This window comes from Homo sapiens, chromosome 8 (assembly GCF_000001405.40).
Source record: "Homo sapiens chromosome 8, GRCh38.p14 Primary Assembly".
Lineage (NCBI taxonomy): Eukaryota > Metazoa > Chordata > Mammalia > Primates > Hominidae > Homo > Homo sapiens.
Window position 1 is genome coordinate 116,687,757 of NC_000008.11, and position 22,876 is coordinate 116,710,632.

Here is a 22,876-nt window from a genome sequence, read left to right on the forward strand (position 1 = left end):
TGTGTACTCCATGATTCCTTTTAAAGATACTTAGAAACAGCATCATGAAAGCAATCATTCATTTAAATAAGCAACCTGAAATGTCCAAGATACCCATCTAGAATGAATCAGTTCTGACTACTGTCAGCATATCCTTAATGACACAAGCTAAGAATATTTGTAAAAAAATAAAGTACTTTAGAAGGTCCCGGCCTTCTAAATATTGACCACAGCTTAAGTTCAAAACAATAAAGTGTTACTACCAATGCAAAGAAACAATCTGAAGATAAAAATCATATTGAACAGTCCAATTTAACTCATAATTTCCTTCACTTATGTAAGATACATTATTGGGGAAAATTGTAGAAACATACCTGAATTCTAAGGGAAACATTCCAAAAATTTTGCAACAAGCCACTACTGACAAGCTTACCACAAGCTAGACAGTAGTGAAATACCTTCTACAGAATATGCAATATGCTTGAAACACAGAATGTTGTCTTATCTCTCTGGTATTCAGACCTTAGATAAGGGCTGTGAAATGGCTAGCTCTATAGGACAATTTCAGCATACAAATGTTCTGACATATACAGGGCTTTAAAAGAATCTAGAAATTTTACATAAAAAATGGGAACAGCCAAAATCCCTATTGACAGTAGAATGAAAAAATAAAATGTGATATATTCATAACAAAGGATATAGCAATGAAAAATGAACTACAGAAAATGAACCCACAAACAATGCTGAGTAAAAGAAGCAAGACATAAAAGATATACTGTCATTACATTTATAAAGTTTAAAAACCAACAAAATTAAATTCATAATGCATGTAAACACTGCTGCAAGAACTACAGAAAACTGAGTTTCATGAAAGTCAATATACTGGCTACCTGAAAATAAGGGGGAGCAACAGGAACACTCAGGGAGAATCCATGGTGCTACCTATGTTCTATTTCTTGACCAAAGTAATGGTTACATAGATATTTGCTTCATAATTATTAAGTTGTGCATCTGTTTGATGCACTTCTCTTGTAAATATCTTTTGCAACAAAAAGTTTTTAAATAGAATACGAGAAGTAATAAAAACTAATGGGTAGTATCTTGATTTAAAAAATAATAGAAACGTGTAAATGGTGCAACTGCTTTGGAAAACAGCTTCGCACTTCCTAAAGGGATTGTATGTAGAGTTACCATATGACCCAGCAATTCCCTCCTAGGAATATACCCGAGAGAAATGAAAGCAATGTCCACACAATTTTGTACACACAGATTTACAGCAGCATTATTCATAATAGGCAAATGTTCAGATGAATAACAAAAACGTATTACTTACATACATTTAATGGAATACTACTCAGCAATAACAAGGAACGAAGTTCTGATGTATGCTGCACTATGAATGAACCTTGAAAAGATCATTTTAGTGAAATAAGTCAGAGACAAAAGGACAAATATTGTATAATTCCACTTACATGAGTTATCTAGAAAGGGCAAACTCATAAAGACAGAATGTAGATTTGAGGATACCAGAGACTGGGAAGGAAGGGTGATGGGGTTTCTCTTTAAGCTGCTGAAAATACTCTAGAATTGACGCTAGCGATGGATGCACTTATCTGTGAATATACTAAAAGCTACAGAATTGTACACTTTAAACGGGTGAACTATAGAGTATAATAATTACACCTCAATAAAACTGTCAAAAAATAATGTGTAAAATATTTCAATACAAGTGAGGGTAATGTTTTACCCCCAACTGTTTAGAAATAATAATGCAGATTCAAATTATATATTTTAATAACTATAGATTTCTGAATTAAGTATATAAAAAGCATCCATGAGCAGAATGCAGAAACAGGTTTCATTCTTTTCATCTAACAATTAATTACAATTGACTATTTTTAAGAACCAAGAAAAACTAAAGCCAAAGAAAATAAGTGTAATATAAAAGAGCTCAGTAATATGGGTTGTATACAAGTTCATTAATCAAAGTACTAAAACCAATGCATTGCTATTACAAAATCATCAAGAACGCTGGAAACCATGTTTATATTTATTAAAAACTCAAATGTAGTCAGAGGCTCTATCACATTGAAAGGTCAGATTTCCTGAATTTTAGTTAACTAGTATGAGTAAAATGAATGGCACAATAGGAAAAGTATATATCATATGAACACAACCCAAAAGATGCAAGAGGTTTGAGAGCTGGTGGCTTGATAATGCCATATCTACCCCTCCCATATATAATAACATATTCGTATCTATAATAATCCCTATCAGTTTAATACCTGCTTAAAATAATTTCCACATTTAGAATTATTTCTAAAAGTCAGTCATATCTGTTTTTTCAGAGGATACCACGTCTCAGGTCCTTCTCCATACTGGCTCTCCGCTCATTCTTTTCTGTTTCCTACTATTCTACTATTTTGTGTTAAGTGAAAGCAAAGAGCTAGCATAGATCTCAGAGATGACAAACCTCTGATGGACCACACAGCAGAAACTACTAGAGTCACATGCTCTATTACAGAAAATACAGCAATATAAAACTATCAGATTGAAGGGCTAATACAATTCAAAAGAAAAACAGGTCCTCTCTTCCTTTACCCCTCAACCCCACCAGTAATAATGGTTATTGGAAATAAACTAGAAAAAAAAAAACCCATAAAGTTTGAAAAGAATGGGCTGGACAGAGCGGCTCACACTTGTAATCCCAGCACTTTGGCAGGCTGAGGAAGGAGGACTGCTTGAGCCCAGGAGATCATGACCAGCTGGGGCAACACAGTGAGACCTCATCTCTAAATAAACAAAACAAAACAATTTGAAAAGAAGTTCTAACTGAGCTAAGGCACTTACTGAAAAGGCTGTAATAGCAGACATTTAAGCCTAGGAAAAGGGGCACAGAATGTACTAATCCTTGTAGACTGCTATAACATTACTTTGATCCTAACTGCCACTTCCAGGTGTGATTGACATTAGGATCTAATTATAATGTATTTTTCTTATAATTCTCAGTATGTAGAAGAAAAAATGCTTACTATAATCACACACAGCAAATATTCAAAGATTATCTCTGCTCTCTGCACTCATTTTAAATAAAAAGTAAAAACAGGTAGAAAATACTTTTCCTCTGTTAAATTAAGCAAATGAATCAGAAACCCATTATTCTCAACACATTAAAGGCTCTGATAAGCAAAATGAAAATGTATCATGGCTAAGTCCATACTAATTTTCACCAAAATCAGTGATACTGCTCTGTCTCTGGGAATACATTCAACCCTAATGCTTACTGTTCAGTCAACTCTGTTGCCCCTCAGTATTCTTAGATCAAAGGGGCATTTTATAACCCTAGCTCAAACACAGTTTACTACGTTACTAAGTTTGATGGCAACTCCCAATGAGAGCAAACATTGGTTAAACTACTTAGTTAGGAAATGTAAAAACAACTTTAATTTACCATTCATAAATAACAATCCATTTGCAGACTGCATCCACAAGAAACACACATATACCACACTTTGAAAGAAATGTTGCCAGCAGTACTAACAGCTGACTGCAGTTCAAGACCAAATGCCACCTTTTGGTTTTGACTCACTCCCCAAGCTCCTACAAACCTGGGGGAAGAGGAGTGGGGGGAGGTGCTGGGTATTACTCTGTCTAAAAAGCCCCAAGACATCCCAAATATATGGACTCTCAAGTGTTGTTTCCTTTGGTCAGTTAATATGTACTACATAATCCCCATGCATTTTCTGCCTGACATACCATGTTCTTCAGTCATCTAAATTTTGCCTCAAAATACCACCAACAGGAAGCTCTATTTTAATAGGAAAAAAAAAAAAGCCTATAAAAGAAATGCCCTTTTAGGCCAGGCACAATGGTTCACACCTGTAATCCCAGCACTTTAGAAGGACAAGGCAGGAGGATCACTTTAGGCCAGGAGTTCGAGACCAGCCTGGACAACATGGCGAAAGCCCGTCTCTACTAAAAATACAAAAATTAGCTGGGTGTAGTTGTGCACGCTTGTAATTCCAGCTACCTGGGAGGCTGAAGCAGAATTGCTTGAACCCAGGAGGCGGAGGATGCAGCAAGCAGAGATCACGCCACTGCACTGCAGCCTGGGTGACAGAGAAAGACTGTCTCAAAAAAAAAAAAAAAAGAGGAGGTACAACATTTAAAGTTTCTATTTTGAATGTTAAGGTTTTCTGGGTTAGACACAATTACCTTTTATGTTATTCCTCCTGGAACAGAAGTTTTCTGATAGCTTGTGCAAACACTAATACAAACTTCCCTCTTCCCAAATGCTCACTGTTTCACATTGTTGTCAGTTTAAGTAGTACAGCTTTCTAGATTACCAATCTCCCAAGAAATCCTTCCTAGGATCCCACTCTGGCACTACCTTCTTTTACTTATTGGACTGAACTAAATCTAACAGACTACAGGGGTAAGCATAGACAGATACACATGCAACTCTGCAGGCACTCTGAAAGACTCCCTAACTCCAATAATTCCACAATTTCAATAATATGAAATAACCCAGAAGAAACTGGGAGAAAAGAACCATTACCATTCACTTTATAAAGACCTTCCCAAGATTCCTCTCAATAGAAAATTCTCAGCACATTTAAAAGATTATATATTTACAAAAATACAAGCTACATATTTTTCTAGGGCCTTGATTATATTAAAAAAAAGCATCAATATGATAAAGACCAATTAAATCTTCTAATTTAGAGAAAAGACCACCTAGCTTATTAACTCTGAATAAAGGTAAATATTGTTTTAAAATCTAACCTAACTGGAACTTGAGCAAAACATTTAGAGAGTGCTTTCATACGATAAATGACTGAGACTTACTTAATTAAGACAGGATTTCACAGCACAATTAAAGAACACTCAGGAAAAGTACAGTTTGTCCTACAGAAAACAAACCCCTTTCCTTCCACTCAGATTATATTTTCACTTTATATTGTGGCACTCAGACATTTATTTTAAAAGACTGTATTCGTAATGTTTAATGAGTTTATTCTCCAAACTAAAATATTAAAATAGTAGTTTAATATCAAATTTGAGACACTAAGAAAACAACAAGCCTTCAGCTGGTTTTCACAATCTGTTGAGAAGCTATTTTCTTAATAAGCCCCAAGTTCTTCTAACTGGCACAAAGCTTAATTTTATCTTTGTATCAATATAAATTAATTTTATCTTTGTATCAATACCATACTTCCTGATCTTTCCACTTGGGAATAAAATGGAATTAATTTATATATGCCAAAGTAACTTACTTTGTAGAGAAGATTTTTTATAACCCAAATCTTTAAATACTCAAAGTTCATATCCTGAAAAGCATATAATTAAATAAAAATGTTATCCTTCCTGAACCCTAAGTAAGTTTTTCCCTTTCAGTGACAATAAGGCAGGAATATATTTGGAAGTCAAAGTACTAAATTCAGTTATGTTAAATAATCAAATAGACCTAAAGTATAACTGAAATATAAAGAACATTCAATTTTTAGGAAACTACATTCTTAATTTTATAACTAAGTATCATTTGACATCAGAAAATTTTAGCAACTGCTTGTTAGCTCAACAGAGTGAGCTCCTTAAGAGTGAGGAGTGCTACTCTTCAGGGCCATTTTTTTTTCCAGAAATAAAGTTTCAATCACTTTTAAAATGGCACCACCTACGTGGTAACAAATAGAGAAACACACTGCTGCATTGATAAGTAGAAGTTAAATGTTGAACTGGGTGGCATGCTAAGCTAATTTCACCAAATGATTATATATTCTGTCACCATGCTGGAAGTAAGAATGATAAATCTGTTAATGTCAACAGTCCACTGTGGCACTTTAAATGGAAACCTATGTTTCAAAATTCAGTACAGACTGAAAACTAGGTCTCCCTCCCACTGGTATCTCTCTCATACAGAGGTAACCACTCTTTCCAGTTTATGTACATTTCTTTTTTTTTTTAAGAGACAGGGTCTTGCTCTGTCTCCCAGGCTGGAATACAGTGACATGGTCATAGCTCACTGCAGCTCTGAATTCCTTAAGGGATCCTCCCGCCTCAGCCTCCCAAAGAGCTGGGACTACAGGAGTGCACCACCACGTGGCTATTTTGTGTAGAGTCGGGGTCACTCTGTGTTACCCAGGCCGGCCTTGAGCTTTTGGCCTCAAGAGATCCTTCTGCCTTGGTCTCCCCCAAAGTGCTAGGATGACAGGCATGAGCTGTCACACCTGGCCAGATGTATCATATTTCAATCATTCTCCTACTGGTGAGCGTTAAGATTTTTTCAATCTTCTGATATTAAACATTCCTATAATACTCTTGTATGTATATCACTTTACATATGTATATGAATATGAGTAAGTCAAATTCCTTTCAGAGAAACTGCAAGGTCAAGAATTATGAGCAAACCTTTTTTTTTTTTTTACATTGCCAAACTTCTCTTCACATAGTTTGTACCAATTTAAACTCCCATCAGCAATCAGCAGTACATGAGTGTGTCTTGTTTCCCTCCAGTGTCTGTCAAATTCATCATGCTATAAAACTTTTAATCTTTGCAAATCTAAAGTGTGAAATGTCATGTTTTGTTATAATTTGAAATTGCATTTCTTTCATTATGAATAAGGTTGGGCATCATTTTACACATGTAAGTGCCATTTGTATCTTTTCTTGTGAACTGTCTAAACCATCTTTGGCCTGCTGTGGCCACTGGTCTGTTTGTTTGTTTTCCTTCTCAATTTGATTAGTAAAAAAATCATTCATATATTAAAAATTTAGCCTTTTGCCAGTGCTAAATTGCGATAATTCTCTTTCATTTTGCCATACAGATTTGTTTTACTTTTATTTGTTTTAGGTATAGACCATTTATTTTGTGCCTTCTGGGTTCTGTGTCATACATAGAAAGGTCATATCTAGTCTCACACTGCGGTGAAATCATTCATGTTTTCCTTTAACTGTTTCACAATTTTTTTGTTTTATGTTGAAATGTCTGACCTACATGTAAATTATTTTTGAAAAGATCTATAACTTCTACCAAAAGAAGTTTTCTTAACACTAAATTATCTTCAGGAGAGATGGAGATACATACTACAGGAGATGAAGACATATACTAGCAAGGCAGATAGTGTAATCCCTTAAAGAAGGAAGAATGAGACAGAACTGACTTGTATAGCTGTATTCCAACATAGTAACAGAGAATAAGAAAATAAAAATGTATCTCCATACTTCCTCTGTTTATCCCATGGTCCTGCCCGCTGTCTTTAAAAAGAAAGTGAAACAAAGCAGCAGCAACAAAATGATGTAGTGCAAAAAAAACTAAGGTAAACTTCCTAATTCTTTTTTTTTTTTTTTTTTTGAGACAGAGTCTCACCCTGTCGCCCAGGCTGGAGTGTGGTGGAGCAATCTAGGCTCACTACAACCTCCACCACCATGTTCAACCAATTCTCGTGCCTCAGCCACCCAAGTAGCTGGGTTTACAGGCATGCCCCATCACGCCCGGCTAATTTTTGTATTTCTTAGTAGAGATGGGGTTTCACCATGTTGGCCAGGCTAGTCTCGAACTCCTGGATCTCCTGGCCTCAAAGGATCCGCCCACCTTGGCCTCCCAAAGTGCTGGGATTGCAGAGCCACCACGCCCACTGCTCCTGAATTCTTATGCATAACTTGGCACACAGGTACATTTTTTTCTGAAGAAAAGGTCTACAGCTTGGTGGGAGAAGAAAATGCAATGGCTCAGAGCAGTGTTGCAGCCCAACCAGGTAAGTAGGGTATCAAAGTAGGAGGCCTGTCCACTTTACAGTGTCAGAGACTAGACCATGCAAGAAAGGAATACTCATAAGATAGTGGTTGTCATGGGGATTCAGAGACTCAGTAAAGTGAGGAAGGTATTGGGGATAGGAGGAGGAATAGCACAAGGAGTCAGCATCTGAGCAGGGTAAGGAAGGCAGGGCAACCCATGCATGAGGCCTGGCATGGGTCTTCAAAGCCCAAGTGGGATGGTATGTGGAGTCAGAGACTGAGCAAGGTGGGGAGGGCATCTGAACAGGAAAAGGCTTGGGAGCAGAAATAAATTAGTTACATAAAAAGGAAATTAACCAAATAAATAAATGTATTAAGAATAATATGAACAAGTGTTTCACTATCAGAGAAGGGAATTACAAATATGAAAAGGGAGAAAAGTAGAATAAACTCAGTTGTAATGAACTGGAGTTGGAGCTATCAGTGTAAACTCATGGTTTTCAATATAAATAAATACAGAAATACAGATGTAAATGTGTTTATCTGTGTGTTATTTGTATATTCAAATACATGCTCAGTCAGCTCAAAAGCCCTTCAAGTAGTAATATCCCAAGAGCAATGAGCATGCTCAGGGTGTTCTTGGCATCTAAATACCATTCTTCTCTTGGACGATCTAGGGCTCCTTAGAAATGACTGAATCCAGAGATGGGACAGGGAAGGTACAAAATGAGCCTGGAACATTACATTATGCCAAAGAGTGAGAAATGCTCAAATAATTGATGGAAACATTGCAAAAGGGCACAAGCTACCTTGAATGGGATTCCACTGATCAAACTGGGGATAAACTGAAAATTAAATAATGACAGTAACTTGTTAATAGCCCACTGAATAAAACAGGAAACCATAAGTTTATACAGCTACATGACTAAATTGAAAATTATATAGATACATGACTAAATTGAAAATTTCTTAAAAGAGAATAGTTACAAAGTTCCCCATAAAATACTTGGGAATGGTTCTTTCCTGAGACTATTTAAAGTTTACTAGCTCTATAATACAACTAATAATTAGGAATAATGATTGAGGTTTGAAAGAAGATAGGCATACTTCATGACTGCATCAAGGATCAGATTCCAATGCACTAAACATACTGTTTTTGAAATAATTTATTTCTGCCTAAAATACAGAGTTCAATGACTAAGGCTTCAGAATACTTACAAAATAGTGGGGGTTTTTTTTTGTTGTTGTTAGCATGATATTGAATCTCTACTGAGTACTCATTTATTTATTCCCTGTATCATGCTTAGTCTTCTCGAGGAATAAAATCTAAATAATTTGTAAGGGCAAAATGATAAAGTACAAGTTTGACTACAAAACATATGAGGCAGAACAGCCCTGCACACACAAAAAAGTCAAAAGCACAGGTGACAAAACTTTTGTAAAAGAAAACACAAAACCAACAGTTAAGGCAGAACATGTACACAAACAAAAAAAGCTAGGACACCAACCCTCTCCATATTACATGTTAATACAATTAGGGCACAGAGATAACAGTAGTCTCACTGTGGACAGCCCTGGCTCACCTCTCCAGCTGGGATCTCTCTCCTGAGAGGCCTCCATCACCACCCAGCTGTCCCTGGTGAATCTCACTCTCTTAGTGTCCAACCAAATTCTGCTTCCCTTCCCTCCCAAACCTGTGCCTCTTCTCCTGTGTGTGCTTGTCCCTTTTTCCAGGGGTTGACAGATCACCCCAAAGGAAATACTGGGCCTAGATGAAATCAGAAGAAACAAAAAAAGAATAGATTTTTAGGGGTTTTCTTAAAGTGTAAAAAGAAAAAAATTGCATGCCTGCTTGCAAACATATGGGATACTGAAGAACTATTGCTGCTTTCACCAACCCAATTGCTGGTCAGTGTCAGGTGCTGACAAACTTGCTTGCTTTCCTCCACTGTTTTACTACCTACATCTTCTTAATGACTGGGAACAAAGAAGTCCAGTCCTTTCACCAGTCAGCTTTTGAATTACACTGAAATTGTAGGGATGACCACAACCTACTCTGTACTCAAGCCGCTATCCCTATATTCCTTAAAGCCACTATAAAGAGGTGAGATTCCCACTGCATTATGTTACAAATTTATGTTTACCCCCCTTACCAGAAACCTCTAGCTGAGCTTGTCCTCTTCACACTGAGTAATGGTTTATGTTTCTTCCCTGAGGGCCTAAACTTTTATTTGTTCTTATTAAATATTATTCTCTTTTAAAAGCTTCTAAATTTCAACTGGCCCTGATTACTTTGAATTATGCAATGCAAATTAGTCTACTGAATAAAGATTGGTCTTGAAATTTGATGAGCATCTCAATTGATTAAGTTAAATTATGCTTTAGTGGGGGGCATACCCTATATACTTCAAATACTTCCAGACACACAATGAACTAATAATTGTACCAAGACTTTTGTGAAAAATAACAATATCTACTACACATTAAGTGCTTACTAAAAGGCAGGCACTGCCTTAATGTATTCTATGCATTCCTTCTTAAACTTCAGAACAACTCTTAAGGGTAGGCAGAATTATCATGCTCAGGATCAGACTGGATTCAAATGCACCAAGTCTGTTTAACTCCAGAGACTATGTCTTGATCATTATACCCGAGGGCCATTATCATGGCTACTAGGTAGCTACAATTTCACAGGCAAAGTAATTATAAAAGCAGTTTTTTTTTTAACCATGGCTTTAACAAGTTGATCAATATGATGTAAAATAAATTTCACAAGATGGAATACTCAAAGAAGTAAACCATACACATTTCATTCAAAAGGGGCATAAGGTACAATTTTCCAGATACTCATGAGCCTGGCCCACAAGTCATGAGTGACAAGTTAGATGTCACTCATGAATGAAAATTACCCCTCTCCTCAGTAGACACCACATTCTCCTATCTACCCCATCTTCATTCCCGCCACCACTAACTAGTCTTCTTGCATTCAACTATTATTTTTTTCTTAAAACAGATCTAAATAATGTCATGATACTTACAAAAAGCCTTCATGGTTGCCCACTATCAATAGTATAAAAGCCAAACTCCTGACCAAAATGATCACAATTAATACATGTTATGCTGTAGATATCAATTGTCTCTGTTTTACAGATGAGGAAACTGAAGCTGAAAGACTAAATTTTAATATAACCTGCATCTCTCGGCATCCTTGCCCATGCCATAGCCTCTATTTCAAAACCTCTTGCCACTACCAATCTCTTTCTGCAACTTAATGTTGCCAACTACCAACTTTCATTGTTTAAGATGATTTTTTTTTCTACTGAGACATAAATCACTGTATACCAATGGCTCATTAGAGCAAGAAACAGAGGTGGAGCTGTTAAAAATTTATATATAGGCAGAGTGCAGTGGCTGACATCTGTAGTCCCAGCACTTTGGGAGGCCAAGACAGGCAGATCTTTGAGCTCAGGAGTTTGAGACCAGCTTGGGCAACATGGCAAATCCCCGTCTCTACAAAAAAAATACAAAAATTAGCTGGGCGTAGTGGCATGTGCCTGCAGTCCCAGCTACTCTGAAGGCTGAGGTGGGAGAATGGCTTGAGCCCGGGAGGCGGAGGTTGCAGCATGCTGAGACCATGCCCCAGCAACAGAGCTGGAACCTGTCTCAAAAAAAAAAAAAAAATTGAATACACACATACCCACATATTTACTTGGGTGTACATGCCTAAATCCACTGAGTTATATATAGGTCCACCATTCTTAAACTACTCAACTGTATCATATGAATTACAAAAAAATACTGATATCATGACATACACTTCAATTTTCATCCATTTCAGAGTTCAATTTCCCAACAACTTTTGTCAAATTTTAGACATTTGACTCTAAATTCAACAAACTTTTTCTTTAAATCTTGCTAAAACAGGTAATCTACATGAACACTGATGCATGCCATTATCCTAAGCAAATTAACCTAGGGACAGAAAAACAAATACTGCATGTTCTCACTTGTAAGTGGGAGCTAAAAAATGGGTACTTATGGACATAAAGATGAGAATAGAAGACACTAGGAACTACTAGAGTGGGTAGGGAGGGAGGGGTACAAGAGTTGAAAAACCATTGGGTACTATGCCAGCTACATGGGTAGCAGGATCATCTGTATCCCAAACCTTGGCATCATGCAATATACTCACGTGGCAAATCTGTACATTTACCCTGTGAATCTAGAAATTGAAATTATAAAAATAAATACATATAAATGAATGCATAGGCGCCCTAATTATTCTCTTCTAAAGGTGAGGGTCTTAATGGCAAATGACAGTGCAGGTTTTTTGGTTTTTTTTGTTTGTTTGTTTGTTTGAGATGGAGTTTCGCTCTTGTTGCCCAGGCTGAAGTGCAATAGTGCGATCTCAGCTCACTGCAACCTCTGCCTCCTGGGTTCAAGAGACTCCCGTGCCTCAGCCTTCCGAGAGCTGGGATTACAGGCATGCACCACCATGGCTAATTTTGCATTTTTTAGTAGAGACAGTGTTTCTCCATGTTGGTCAGGATGGTCTCAAACTCCAGGCCTCAGGTGATCCTCCTGCCTTGGCCTCCCAAAGTGTTGGGATTACAGGCGTGAGCCACCGTGCCCGGCCGTAGGTTTTTTATTTTTATTTTTTAATGGAAACAATAAAATAGAAGACAGTATTTTTAACAGTGCCAAGTTGCCACTTAGAAGTCTGGCACTGGAGCAAGAGCTCCCTAAATTAATTGCCTAGGGAAAAATGGAGGTAGAGAAAACTCAACCTTCTTGGGATGGTGGCAATAGCAGCTGAAACAAAATATTAAAATCCATCTCCTAAAGCAAGTTTGTACAACCTGCGGCCCAGGACAGCTTTGAATGCAGCCAAACACAAATTCGTAAACTTTCTTCAAACATTATAAGATTTTTTTCTTTTCTTTTCTTTTTTTTTTAAGCTCATCAACTACCACTAGTGTTAGTGTATTTTATGTGTGTCCCAAGACAATTCTTCTTCTTCCAGTGTGGCCTAGGGGAGCCAAAAGATGGAACGTCTCTGTCCTAAAGTCTTCAAGTTATTAAGGGAAAATCCTCTCTACTTTTTACCAACTATTTAGCAAAAAAAGACAAAGATCAAATGCAAGTATGGCTTACTGTTCCTGTTTCTAGTGAGTCAAGCAACATAAAGAAAAGAAAAAGATTTATATAGTTTGATCAGGGAGGCCGGAAGACATCCATAAGTAAAACTGGCAACTACTATGAAAGTTAAATTTAGCATGGTTGGGGTTCAGGGAGTCCATTTGTAATGCAAAAGTTAGGGTAAACATAATAAATTGATGCTTTTAAACACCTTTTTTGAGAAATGGGAAAGAATTTTTCTATCACTGCTAATTTACTTACAAATTATATGCTTTCCCAAGTCAGTCCACCCTTCTAAATATAGGGTATACTCAAAACATTGAACTAGCTATCTTTAATCATAAAGTAAGACTTCTGGTCTAAATTTATATTGTTAAATTACTTTATTCTAATCAGTTCTCCAAAGCCAGAAAGAAAAATTACTTTCTAAATATTGTGTTAAATTTAGGAAAGAATATATTCCTCAATTTCAAACAAATTTAAAACAAAGGAAACTGACACAGTAATTTTTGGGGGGCTGGAGGGTTCACATCATTCAGTTAATATTGTTCTATACCTACAGGATTAAATTTAGCTACTTTAGCTTCGTATGCAATTCACAATCTCCATTTAATCCATTCAACAAATATTTTATTGGGCATGTATTATATTCCACTATTCTAACAATAAATATTGGGGATAAATAAATCTCAGCCCCTGAGCTCAGTGAGTATCCAGTCTAGCAGAAGTGAATAATAATTGATAAGATATAGTGTGATAGTCCCCATAATATTAATTAGTAGGGTGTTTTTCATATACCTCCAAAAATTCTTTGATGTTCCTTCCCACCAAGCGACAGAATTTAATTCCCCTCCTCTTAATTATGGGCTGGACTTAGTGACTCAATTCTAAGTAATAGAGTAGGGGAAGGAATAAAAAGTAACTTTTCAGTGAAGAAACCTGGCAGTCACCACCTAAACTAAGTAACCAAGGTTAACATCATCATCATTAAGACATGTTGAGATGATGCAATGAAAGGGCCAATTCACTTGTATAATTCCCCAAATCATGGGGATTATTCTTCCCTACAATCATGAGAAAACATCAGATAAGCCCAAATTGATAGATAATGTATAAAACAGCTGACAAGCACTCTTTAAAAGTGTCATGGCCAGGAAAAACTAGGAAAAGAAACAGACTGGAACATACTAAAGAGATACAATGAAATCCAACATGGCATCCCGGACTGCATCCTACATCAACAGAAAAAGAACATGAGTAAGAAAACTGGAGAAATCTGAATAAATTCTGCATTTTAGTTAATGGTACTGTACCAATTCTAATTTCTTACTTTTGACAAATATCATGGTTACATGTTAATGGTCTTTGCAAGTTCTGTAAATCTAAATTTTTTTTTTAAATAAAAGATTTAAATATATACAGTCTGGTAAGAATCATCATGAGATAAGCATATGATCTATGAGACATGCAGCCAGGGTCAGCACCAGGGGTTACGTGTGTGAAGTCTGGGAATAATGTCTCAACTTACTCTTGAAATATGGGAAGGAGTTGATCAGCTGGAATGGGGAAGGGGGTAGAGAAAACAGAATAATCCACTATCCAGGAACAAGGCAGATTTTTGGTTTGTGTAGTTAACAAATGGTTCATTCAGCATGGCTGGCATAACGGGAGAAGAAATGGAAGTAGTGTCAAGAAATAAGGTCAGAGAGAAAAGCAGGAATTACTTGTCTTGGAGATCCAGCCTCAAATCCCACATATATCATATCAACCTAGGGCTGAAGTGACTTCATCTCCTGAAATCATTTCCTATACCAGTCATTTAGCCATAACCACGTACTGCCTTGTGATAAGTTTGTCCTATTATTTTAATTTTCCCAATTTAAATCTTACTCCACAGAGTGAGATAGCAGGAACCAAGCTTCACATACTCCCTGAAATTTACCTTACTGGTTTCTACCTTATATCATGCCTTAGACAGTGTCTAGCATAGTAGGGACTCAGTGGATGAGCAATATATAATATAAACTGGTCATCAGAATTAATCTGAAGAATATGGTATCAATGAGAAGCTGATTTTAATCATCATAAGCTGATTCACTGGGGAGGGGGAGGGTGCACAGAGAACAACAGTACAGATATTTCCAAAATCAAGTACGAATAACAAAGGACAACATATTAAAAACCTTAGAAATCATTTTAGGGCAGTGGTACCCAACCTTCATGGCACCAGTGACCAGTTTCCTGGAGGACAATTTTTCCATAGAAGGTTGTGGGGATTGTGGGGGGTGGCAGTGATCTTGGAATAAAACTGTTCCACCTCAGATCATCAGGCATTAGATTCTCATAAGGAATGTGCAGCCTAGATCCCTCACATGCGCAGCTCACAACAGGGTTAGCGTGTGGGCGGCAAGCCACCCAGGTGCCAAGGCAAGAGACTGAAGGCAAAAGCTGTTCCAGTATAATAAAGAAGATACTTAAAATAAGAATAGTTGTATTAGATGTAGAATGTAGATATGATTATATATGAATACTACTAATTATTAGTTTATGGTATTATTCTTTATTCCAAAATAATAATCTTTCTTCTACCATTATAACCTAGGAAAAACGAGGGCATACAGAGATAGGAGCTGAAGGGACACGGTGAGAAGTGACCAGAAGACCGGGACAGGGCCACTAGAGGGCTCCCTGGTCTAGTGGTAATGCCAATGCCTGGGAAGCACCCATTACTTAGCAGACCGGGAAAGGGAGTCTCCCTTTCCCCGGGGGAGTTAGAGAAGAATCTGCTCCACCACCTCTTGTGGAAGGCAATGTCAGGCCTGCCCGCAGCCATCCGGAGGCCTGACCATCTCCCTGTGATGCTGTGCTTCAGCGGTCACGCTCCCGGTCCACTTTCATGTTCCACTCTGTACACCTGGCTCCGCCTTCTGGATAGCAGTAGCAGAATTAGTGAGAGTACTAAAGTCTTTAAAATGTGTAGAAGAAATAATGATGTAAGCTGTCCTCTCTCTCTCTCCGCCTCGGCTACCAAACAGGGAAGGGCCCCTGTCCGGTGGACACATGGCTTGTGTGACCTTACCTATCATTGGAGATGGCTCACACTCCTTACCCTGCCCCCTTGTCTTGTACACAATAAATAACAGCACACCCAGGCATTTGGGGCCACTACCGGTCTCCACATCTAGGTGGTAGTGGTCCCCCAGGCCCAGCTGTCTTTTCTTCTGTCTCTTTGTCTTGTGTCTTTATTTCTACCATCTCTCGTCTCTGCACACGAAGAGAAAAACCCACAGGCCCAGTAGGGCTGGACCCTACATTAGTGCTCCTATGAGAATCTAATGCCACAGCTTTTCTGACAGGAGGCAGCACTCGTGGTTCTTAACAGATCAGTACTGGTCCGTGGCCTGGGGGCTGGGGACTCCTGCCTTAGGGGACTTAAAGACTAAGAAGATAAAAACCGTTCCACATAACATCATTTCTGCCTATCATTCTGATACTCTGCTCCATTCTACCTCCTGACAATTAACAATCAACAAAAGGGTGTCCTATAAAGTGGTTAAGAACCCAGGCTTTGAATCCTGATTCCATACATTGTAGCAAAGGCTCTTGGACAAAGTACTTAGCTTCTCTAGCCCTCAGTAAAATGGGAACAGTAACAGTACTCAACTCTTAAAAGAGCCATATGGATTCAATGCATGCAAGTCTTCAACACAATCAATGTTTGGCACATGACACGTGCTCAACGAATGTTAGCAATTACAACTGTGACTGTAATGTTATCATTACCAGTACAATAATGGCGAGGATGATGATACCATTCAAGAGTACTGCCTTGCCACTCTGCTCACTTCTAAGTCTCACTTTTTAATGACCTTCTCTAGCTTAAAAGATAGAGGGGAAAAATTTCTTGTTGCTGTGTTCTCCCTAAAAGCTAGTAAAAATATCTATTTTACTAAAAGTAAAATCTTCATGTACAGTTGTTGTTTTATTCCACATACAGAAGAGTAAGGTTAATCGACAAACAGGAAGATATCCTCGGCGTCAATAATCAGATAAACGTTGAAGAACAACTGCATAAAAGGGAAAACAAAGGAATAGCCCTAAAATTTTACTGTTTCTTTTCCTATTATTTTTAACTTCAACAGTTTAAAAGAGGTCAAGCTAATACATTTCAAGTATCTACAACACAAACTACTTACGGCTATTTTAAAGCAAATTATTTCAAGCATTTTTTTTTCTTCAACTATTTAAATAATTTCATAGATTGTATGCAATGTGTAGCTCTCACGTTGACAGTGTACTCTGTGATAGTGGCCAAAGGTACATTATACCAAATGTAAAGGTCTAGAGAGTTCCTCTGTACAAAAGGTACTTTCCAGTGGAAACCAACTATGCCAATAACACTTTGTAGCACTGCCCACAGGAAACACTAACTGCTGTATCAAACATTCCTGATGCTGTAGTGCTTATTATCTACAAAGAATGTTCTTCAACATCTAATTCATACTCGGTCAGAGATGGATCCTAATGCACCCATATGAATTTAGATAATCAACAGTATGACCAAGATACCTATATACATATTTTCATATGATATTTGTAAAAAGTTATAGATAAAGGCACAGAATATATTTATACATTTACCCATGTTGTTCAGACTATGAAAATATTAGCAAGAATCAATATAAGGAGAAAAGCTGTTCAAGTTGTTTTATCCAAGAGAAATGAATTTCTAATTTCTTAACCAAAAGATTCATGCCCTAATGCTTCCTTAGGTTATAAAGATTCACAAGATAGTAAGGTAACTCAGAAAGACATTAGACACTACCTTCACCAAGTGACCAAGGTTAGCATCACCAGTGATGCCATGTGGGTAACATGTTACACCCCCCCCCACCACCAACACCCCAGGAGAATGCAATGACAGGGGCACTTCAACACTGAGATTTCTTCTCAAAAATCTGTAACTCCAGTTTAATCATGAAAATACATCCAACATATCCAAACTGAGGAACATTTTACAAAATACTTAAGCAGCACTCTTTAAAACTGCCTAGATGGTGGGAAACAAGAAAAGACTGAGACAGTCACAGACCAGAGGGGCCTAAGGAGACATAACCAGCGCAACGTGGTATTCTAGACTGGATCCTAGAAAAGGACGTCACCAGAAAAACTGGTGAAATCCAGATAAAGTTAACAGTAAGATGTCAATGTTGGTTTCTTAAACTAATGTATCTCAGTAATATAAGATGGGAATATTAAGGGAAAACTGGTTGAAGGATATAGGGGAACTCTGTACTATCTTTGCAACGTTTCAGTAAAATCTAAAATTATTCCAAAACAAAAAGTTTATTTAAAAAAAAAAAAAACTCCAGACACACTTGTTTACAAAGGTTATCTAGCAGCCATGGATAAACTTTCTTGGAGTAAACACTACCACCGATAAATCCAATCACCAAGCTGAGTTCCCATAAATATTTCAAATGTCAAATGAAAAGTCCTAGATTAAGTCACAGAATTATAAAGACATTGATGACAGCTGATGAGTCATCAATTCAACTAGATTACTACAGATAGCTTAAAACCTTTTAGTAGTCTCTTACAGTTTACAGAATAAAACCTAAACTTCTGTAAGCTCTGAAGAACACAGCCCCTTGGTTTTCATTCAGCAGGATTTATTCAGACAGATTAACCTTCTGAAAGTTCCTGAACAATGTCAAGCTCATTCCCACCTCAGGGCCTTTAGCACTTGGTTTTCCTCGTCTGTCTCTCTTCACACAGCTAGTTACTTCTTATCTTTCAAGTGTCAGCTGAGCATATCTCCATTCCAGGGACTCTCCAAACACTCCATATAACCACTCTGTTTTTCATGTTTCAATACAGCATTCAATAAATTATGTGAGATATTTAACACTTTATTTATTTATTTATTTATTTTATTTATTTAGAGACTGGGTCTCACTCTGTCACCCAGGCTGGAGTGCAGTGGCACCATCTCAGCTCACTGCAACCTCCATTTCCCGGTTTCAAGAGATTCTTGTGCCTCAGCCTCACGAGTAGCTGAGACTACAGGCGAATGCCACCACACCTGGCTAATTTTTGTATTTTTAAAAGATGGAGTTTCACCAAGGGTTTTGACATGTTGGTCAGGCTGATCTTGAACTCCTGGCCTCATGTTATCTGCCCGCCTCAGCCTCCCGAAGTGCTGGGAATACAGGCATGAGCCACAGCACCCGGCCAACATTTTACTATAAAACAAGCTCTGTGTCAGATGATTTTGCACAACTGTAGGCTAATATAAGTGTTCTGAATACATTTAAAGTGGGACAGGCTAAGCTATGACGTTTGGTAGGTTAGGTGTATTAAATGCTGGGTTTATCGGGACGTGACCCCATCATAAGTTGAGGAGCACTTGTATTTTATTTGGTTAACTAATGTCTCTCTCCTCTACGTTTTCAACATGTTATTCCAGAGACAAGGCAGAATTATCCACGGAATCCCATCCTATAAATGGAATATTGCGTTGAAAAAGTATCTTATTTCTCTTTTAGTAATCTTAGTTCTGTCTTTTGGAGCTTGACAGTAAAGATTAATCCTCTCTCCAGAAAACAGGCCTAAAAAATATCAGTCCACATACGTATTACACTGACTCACTACTCCACATAATGAATGTACTTTTTAAATGGTCCAAAAGGATATCTATAATTTCTGAATTGAAAAACCTTAAATATTTCATATTTTAGTGAAGTTGATATTGTTATAAGTACAGGAATTCCCCCACTGGTTATCAGCAGCTTACATTTATTCATCTGCTCTGTAATACATACTATCATCACAGAACAGGTGCTTTTTACAAAGTATTCAAGATAGAAGGGAAGGCAAACAGGAATTTAATTCTGTATGTGTGAGGTATTAAAGTTATTTGATAATATTCAGTCAAATATCTCATACGTGAGATACTTATTTGATAATATTCAGTCAAGCCCCTAAAACATGAGTGTACTCTTTTACTCAATCTTTTGTCATTTCTACCTCTCTCTAGTGTTCATCTTTTCATTCTCATTGCTACTGTTCACATATCAGTAAAGCCCTCATTATCTGTTTTCCCCACCTTCAGCCACAAAATATTGGTTTTATATCAACACACCTCTGCCAGAAAACCCAGAATGATTCACAACTACTTCAAATCTAAGCTTCATTTTGAAGAGTTCAAAGTTTTCCATAATCTGACCCTATTATTATTCAGACCATTCCCCGAACTAAGTCTCTGATCTAACTAATCTCATTTTTCTATGCTCATAATACATGCTTGTTTCTAATTCTATGCCTTTGTCTGTTATATAAATTCATGTTTCCTGATTCAGTCAGTCACGAATTTCTAAAACTTTAAGTACAGTCCTACTCTCAAAAAAATAATATTACAAACTCTTGGTAAGCAGTATTTGCATTATTCAAATCTTTTCCTTTTTAAAATACTTTTCTCCTTTATCAGGAAAAACAAAAAGGCTGTTGATTGTCACTTCCAAAAAGACGGTAACATTCTTAGGTGTCTTTAAGTTACACCGGAATTTGGAAACTTCAAGCCAAATTACAACAATATAACAGAGTACTCAAAAATCAAAACAGCAAAAAATAATGGGCACATGAATAAAAGTACAAAGCAACTTATTGTAAATTTTCAAAATGTCACCTCATTATTATTATTATTATTTATTATTACTATGCTAAGGACAACAGTATCTTAAAATTATAAACCTTCATAGTCTTCCCTTTACTAATCAAAATGAATATTTTTCCAAGACAAAGCAGTCACTTAAATACATAACAAAGATACCAATAAATACCTGTAAAAGACTATTCCACAGTATAGAAAATTAGTAAAAGTGCTGATATTGATGACTATAAATTTCATTCAATTATATTAGGCTAATTAAAATTTAAAGATTTCAAGTTCAAAGGCCAAGTGAGATAATTTATCAAGCAAATTAAATTCTGTGATTAGTGTAATTCATTCACTATGGGTAAAGTAGTTAAAAATCTTTCCGAATTCTCAAAGATGTTCATCAAAACCACTTAATACCAGCTGAAGGGAAACTGAGAGCAGTACTTTATTCTTAAAACATGAAATATATATTTTAAATGCACATATTTATATCAAACAGTAACTAATTGAATTATACCAAACATCCTTATGGTACTCACTACCATATGATAATTATGATCCAAGCAAAAAACTAAAGAAAAGCAAGGTCAGATGAACTTAATATTCAACTGCTGTACTTCTAAGCTTTCCATTTTTTTATGTTGAACAGGTTTTCTAGTTCTAAGGTTTGCCTAGCTGTTGAACTTGTACCTCCTTAACAATTTTGGTTTAGCCAGGGCCTTTCTTTAAAAAAAAAAAAAAATTTTTTTTTGCAATAAAAGAAATTATGGTCTAAATCGCAAAGATGACAAGAAACCTTAGCAATTTAAATAGACAAGCCTTGAAATAATACTGTGATCAAAGTATCAAGCAGCCTAATATAACCCAGCTGGCTCAGGCTTATCATATATGGTACTCATTACCACAATTGCACTATTTAATCTACTTCCTGGTGTCAACAAAAACTTTCTGTTATTAATTCCTCCCAGTTATGGATCTGCTTAAATTATTGCACTTTCTGATAAGACAACCCTTTGCCCAAAAAATTTTTTAAAAAGGAGCAGGTCTTATTTTAAATGTTTTAGAAATGGAACCACAGTTAGTAAAACCACAGAAACCATCGTGGCTTTGTATTATTAGCCATCTATATAAGGGTATGTTAATTTCTATGGAGATAACAGATGACTCATGGTTAACACAATTTTGTAAGGGATCACATGTTTTATCAAAAAGGTAACCATATGCACGTATGCAAAAAGAACTATTGTACAAATTTTTGAAATTCAAGTAAGAGATGTATCCACTGACAAAGGTATACAGGTTAGATTCTGCTAGCCAGTCCTCTTATCCATACACAACTTCATCACTCATGTATATCCTTGTTGGGTTACAACTTGTAAGATTTTGAAGCTATAGCTCTTGTCTTTAAGTAGTTAAATGTTTCTTAGGAACTTGCTTTTACACATAATTTGTTTCCAAAAAGACTCCATTTAGGCAAAGTAAAAATGCTAGGATTATTAAATCTACCTCAACATTGTGCCAAACACTGAAGCAGCAAAAAATTAAATCAAAAAATACGAAGAGATAAATAAGAAAAGGGTAGCGTGATCATGATTACTGTCACTGGATTTACTGGTCTGTCTCAGCCATAGGTACCAGGACATTGAAAAGATGAATTGTGAGAGTTGTTCACGGTGCACACCTTCATTTTTTACAAAGAGCTAGTTGGACTGGTTACAAAGGAGTCACTAACTGCTCAGTGTTTCATGAGTGGCACCCAGCGTTCACACAGATTCCTTACAGCTAACTGATCCATTTCCTTTCCATGCTCTTTTCTCATTCTGCTTGCCCAGATGGCAGTCACGGCAGATTGGAAGCACTGCACAACATACTACTTAACCATACTGTGTACTCAGTAAAGAAGGAAATTCACATGACAGGCTTTATCAGTATTGTCTGTTTAAGTCATCTGCAAAGCAATGTATTCTAGAAAGTCTTCCTGTGTCATCAGTCAGGCACTGATTTCCTAAGTCAAATTAAACCATCTATTCAAACTATTATTTGTAATGGCATTCAGTGATATTTAATAAGAACACATTTTTCTTCCCCTACCCTACCCAGCTTGATCTGTATTTTCAGTTAGTTTCTCCATTCCATGTAGCAAAATAGTAGAGGCTGTGCTGACTTTCAGCAGTGAAATGGGTTTAGTGTCTGTATACATTCAACCACCGCTAATTTTCTGTTGACCTTCATTTTTATTTAATATAATACCTAGTGTACACCCACAAACTTAACTTTCTAAAAATCTGGTGTTAAATTTAATATCATTTGATTTCAGTTGTGCTGATAGTAAATAGTAATGCCAAGAAGCAGCCTTTTAAGTAA

General features: G+C 36.7%; 1 protein-coding gene across 8 annotated transcripts in view, besides 1 other annotated feature; it reads right to left on the reverse strand.

The window, feature by feature from the left end:
- EIF3H (eukaryotic translation initiation factor 3 subunit H) overlaps nt 1–22,876 on the reverse strand; it is a 124,245-nt gene that overhangs the window by 45,627 nt on the left and 55,742 nt on the right. The window lies entirely within an intron of this gene.
- Nucleotides 2,567–3,072: an enhancer, noted in NCBI's record as "NANOG hESC enhancer chr8:117702562-117703067 (GRCh37/hg19 assembly coordinates)". NCBI's record gives its function as "activates a minimal SCP1, AML or CMV promoter by ChIP-STARR-seq in naive H9 embryonic stem cells {active_cell/tissue: H9 hESC(naive)}" and the evidence as "EXISTENCE:reporter gene assay evidence [ECO:0000049][PMID:30033119]".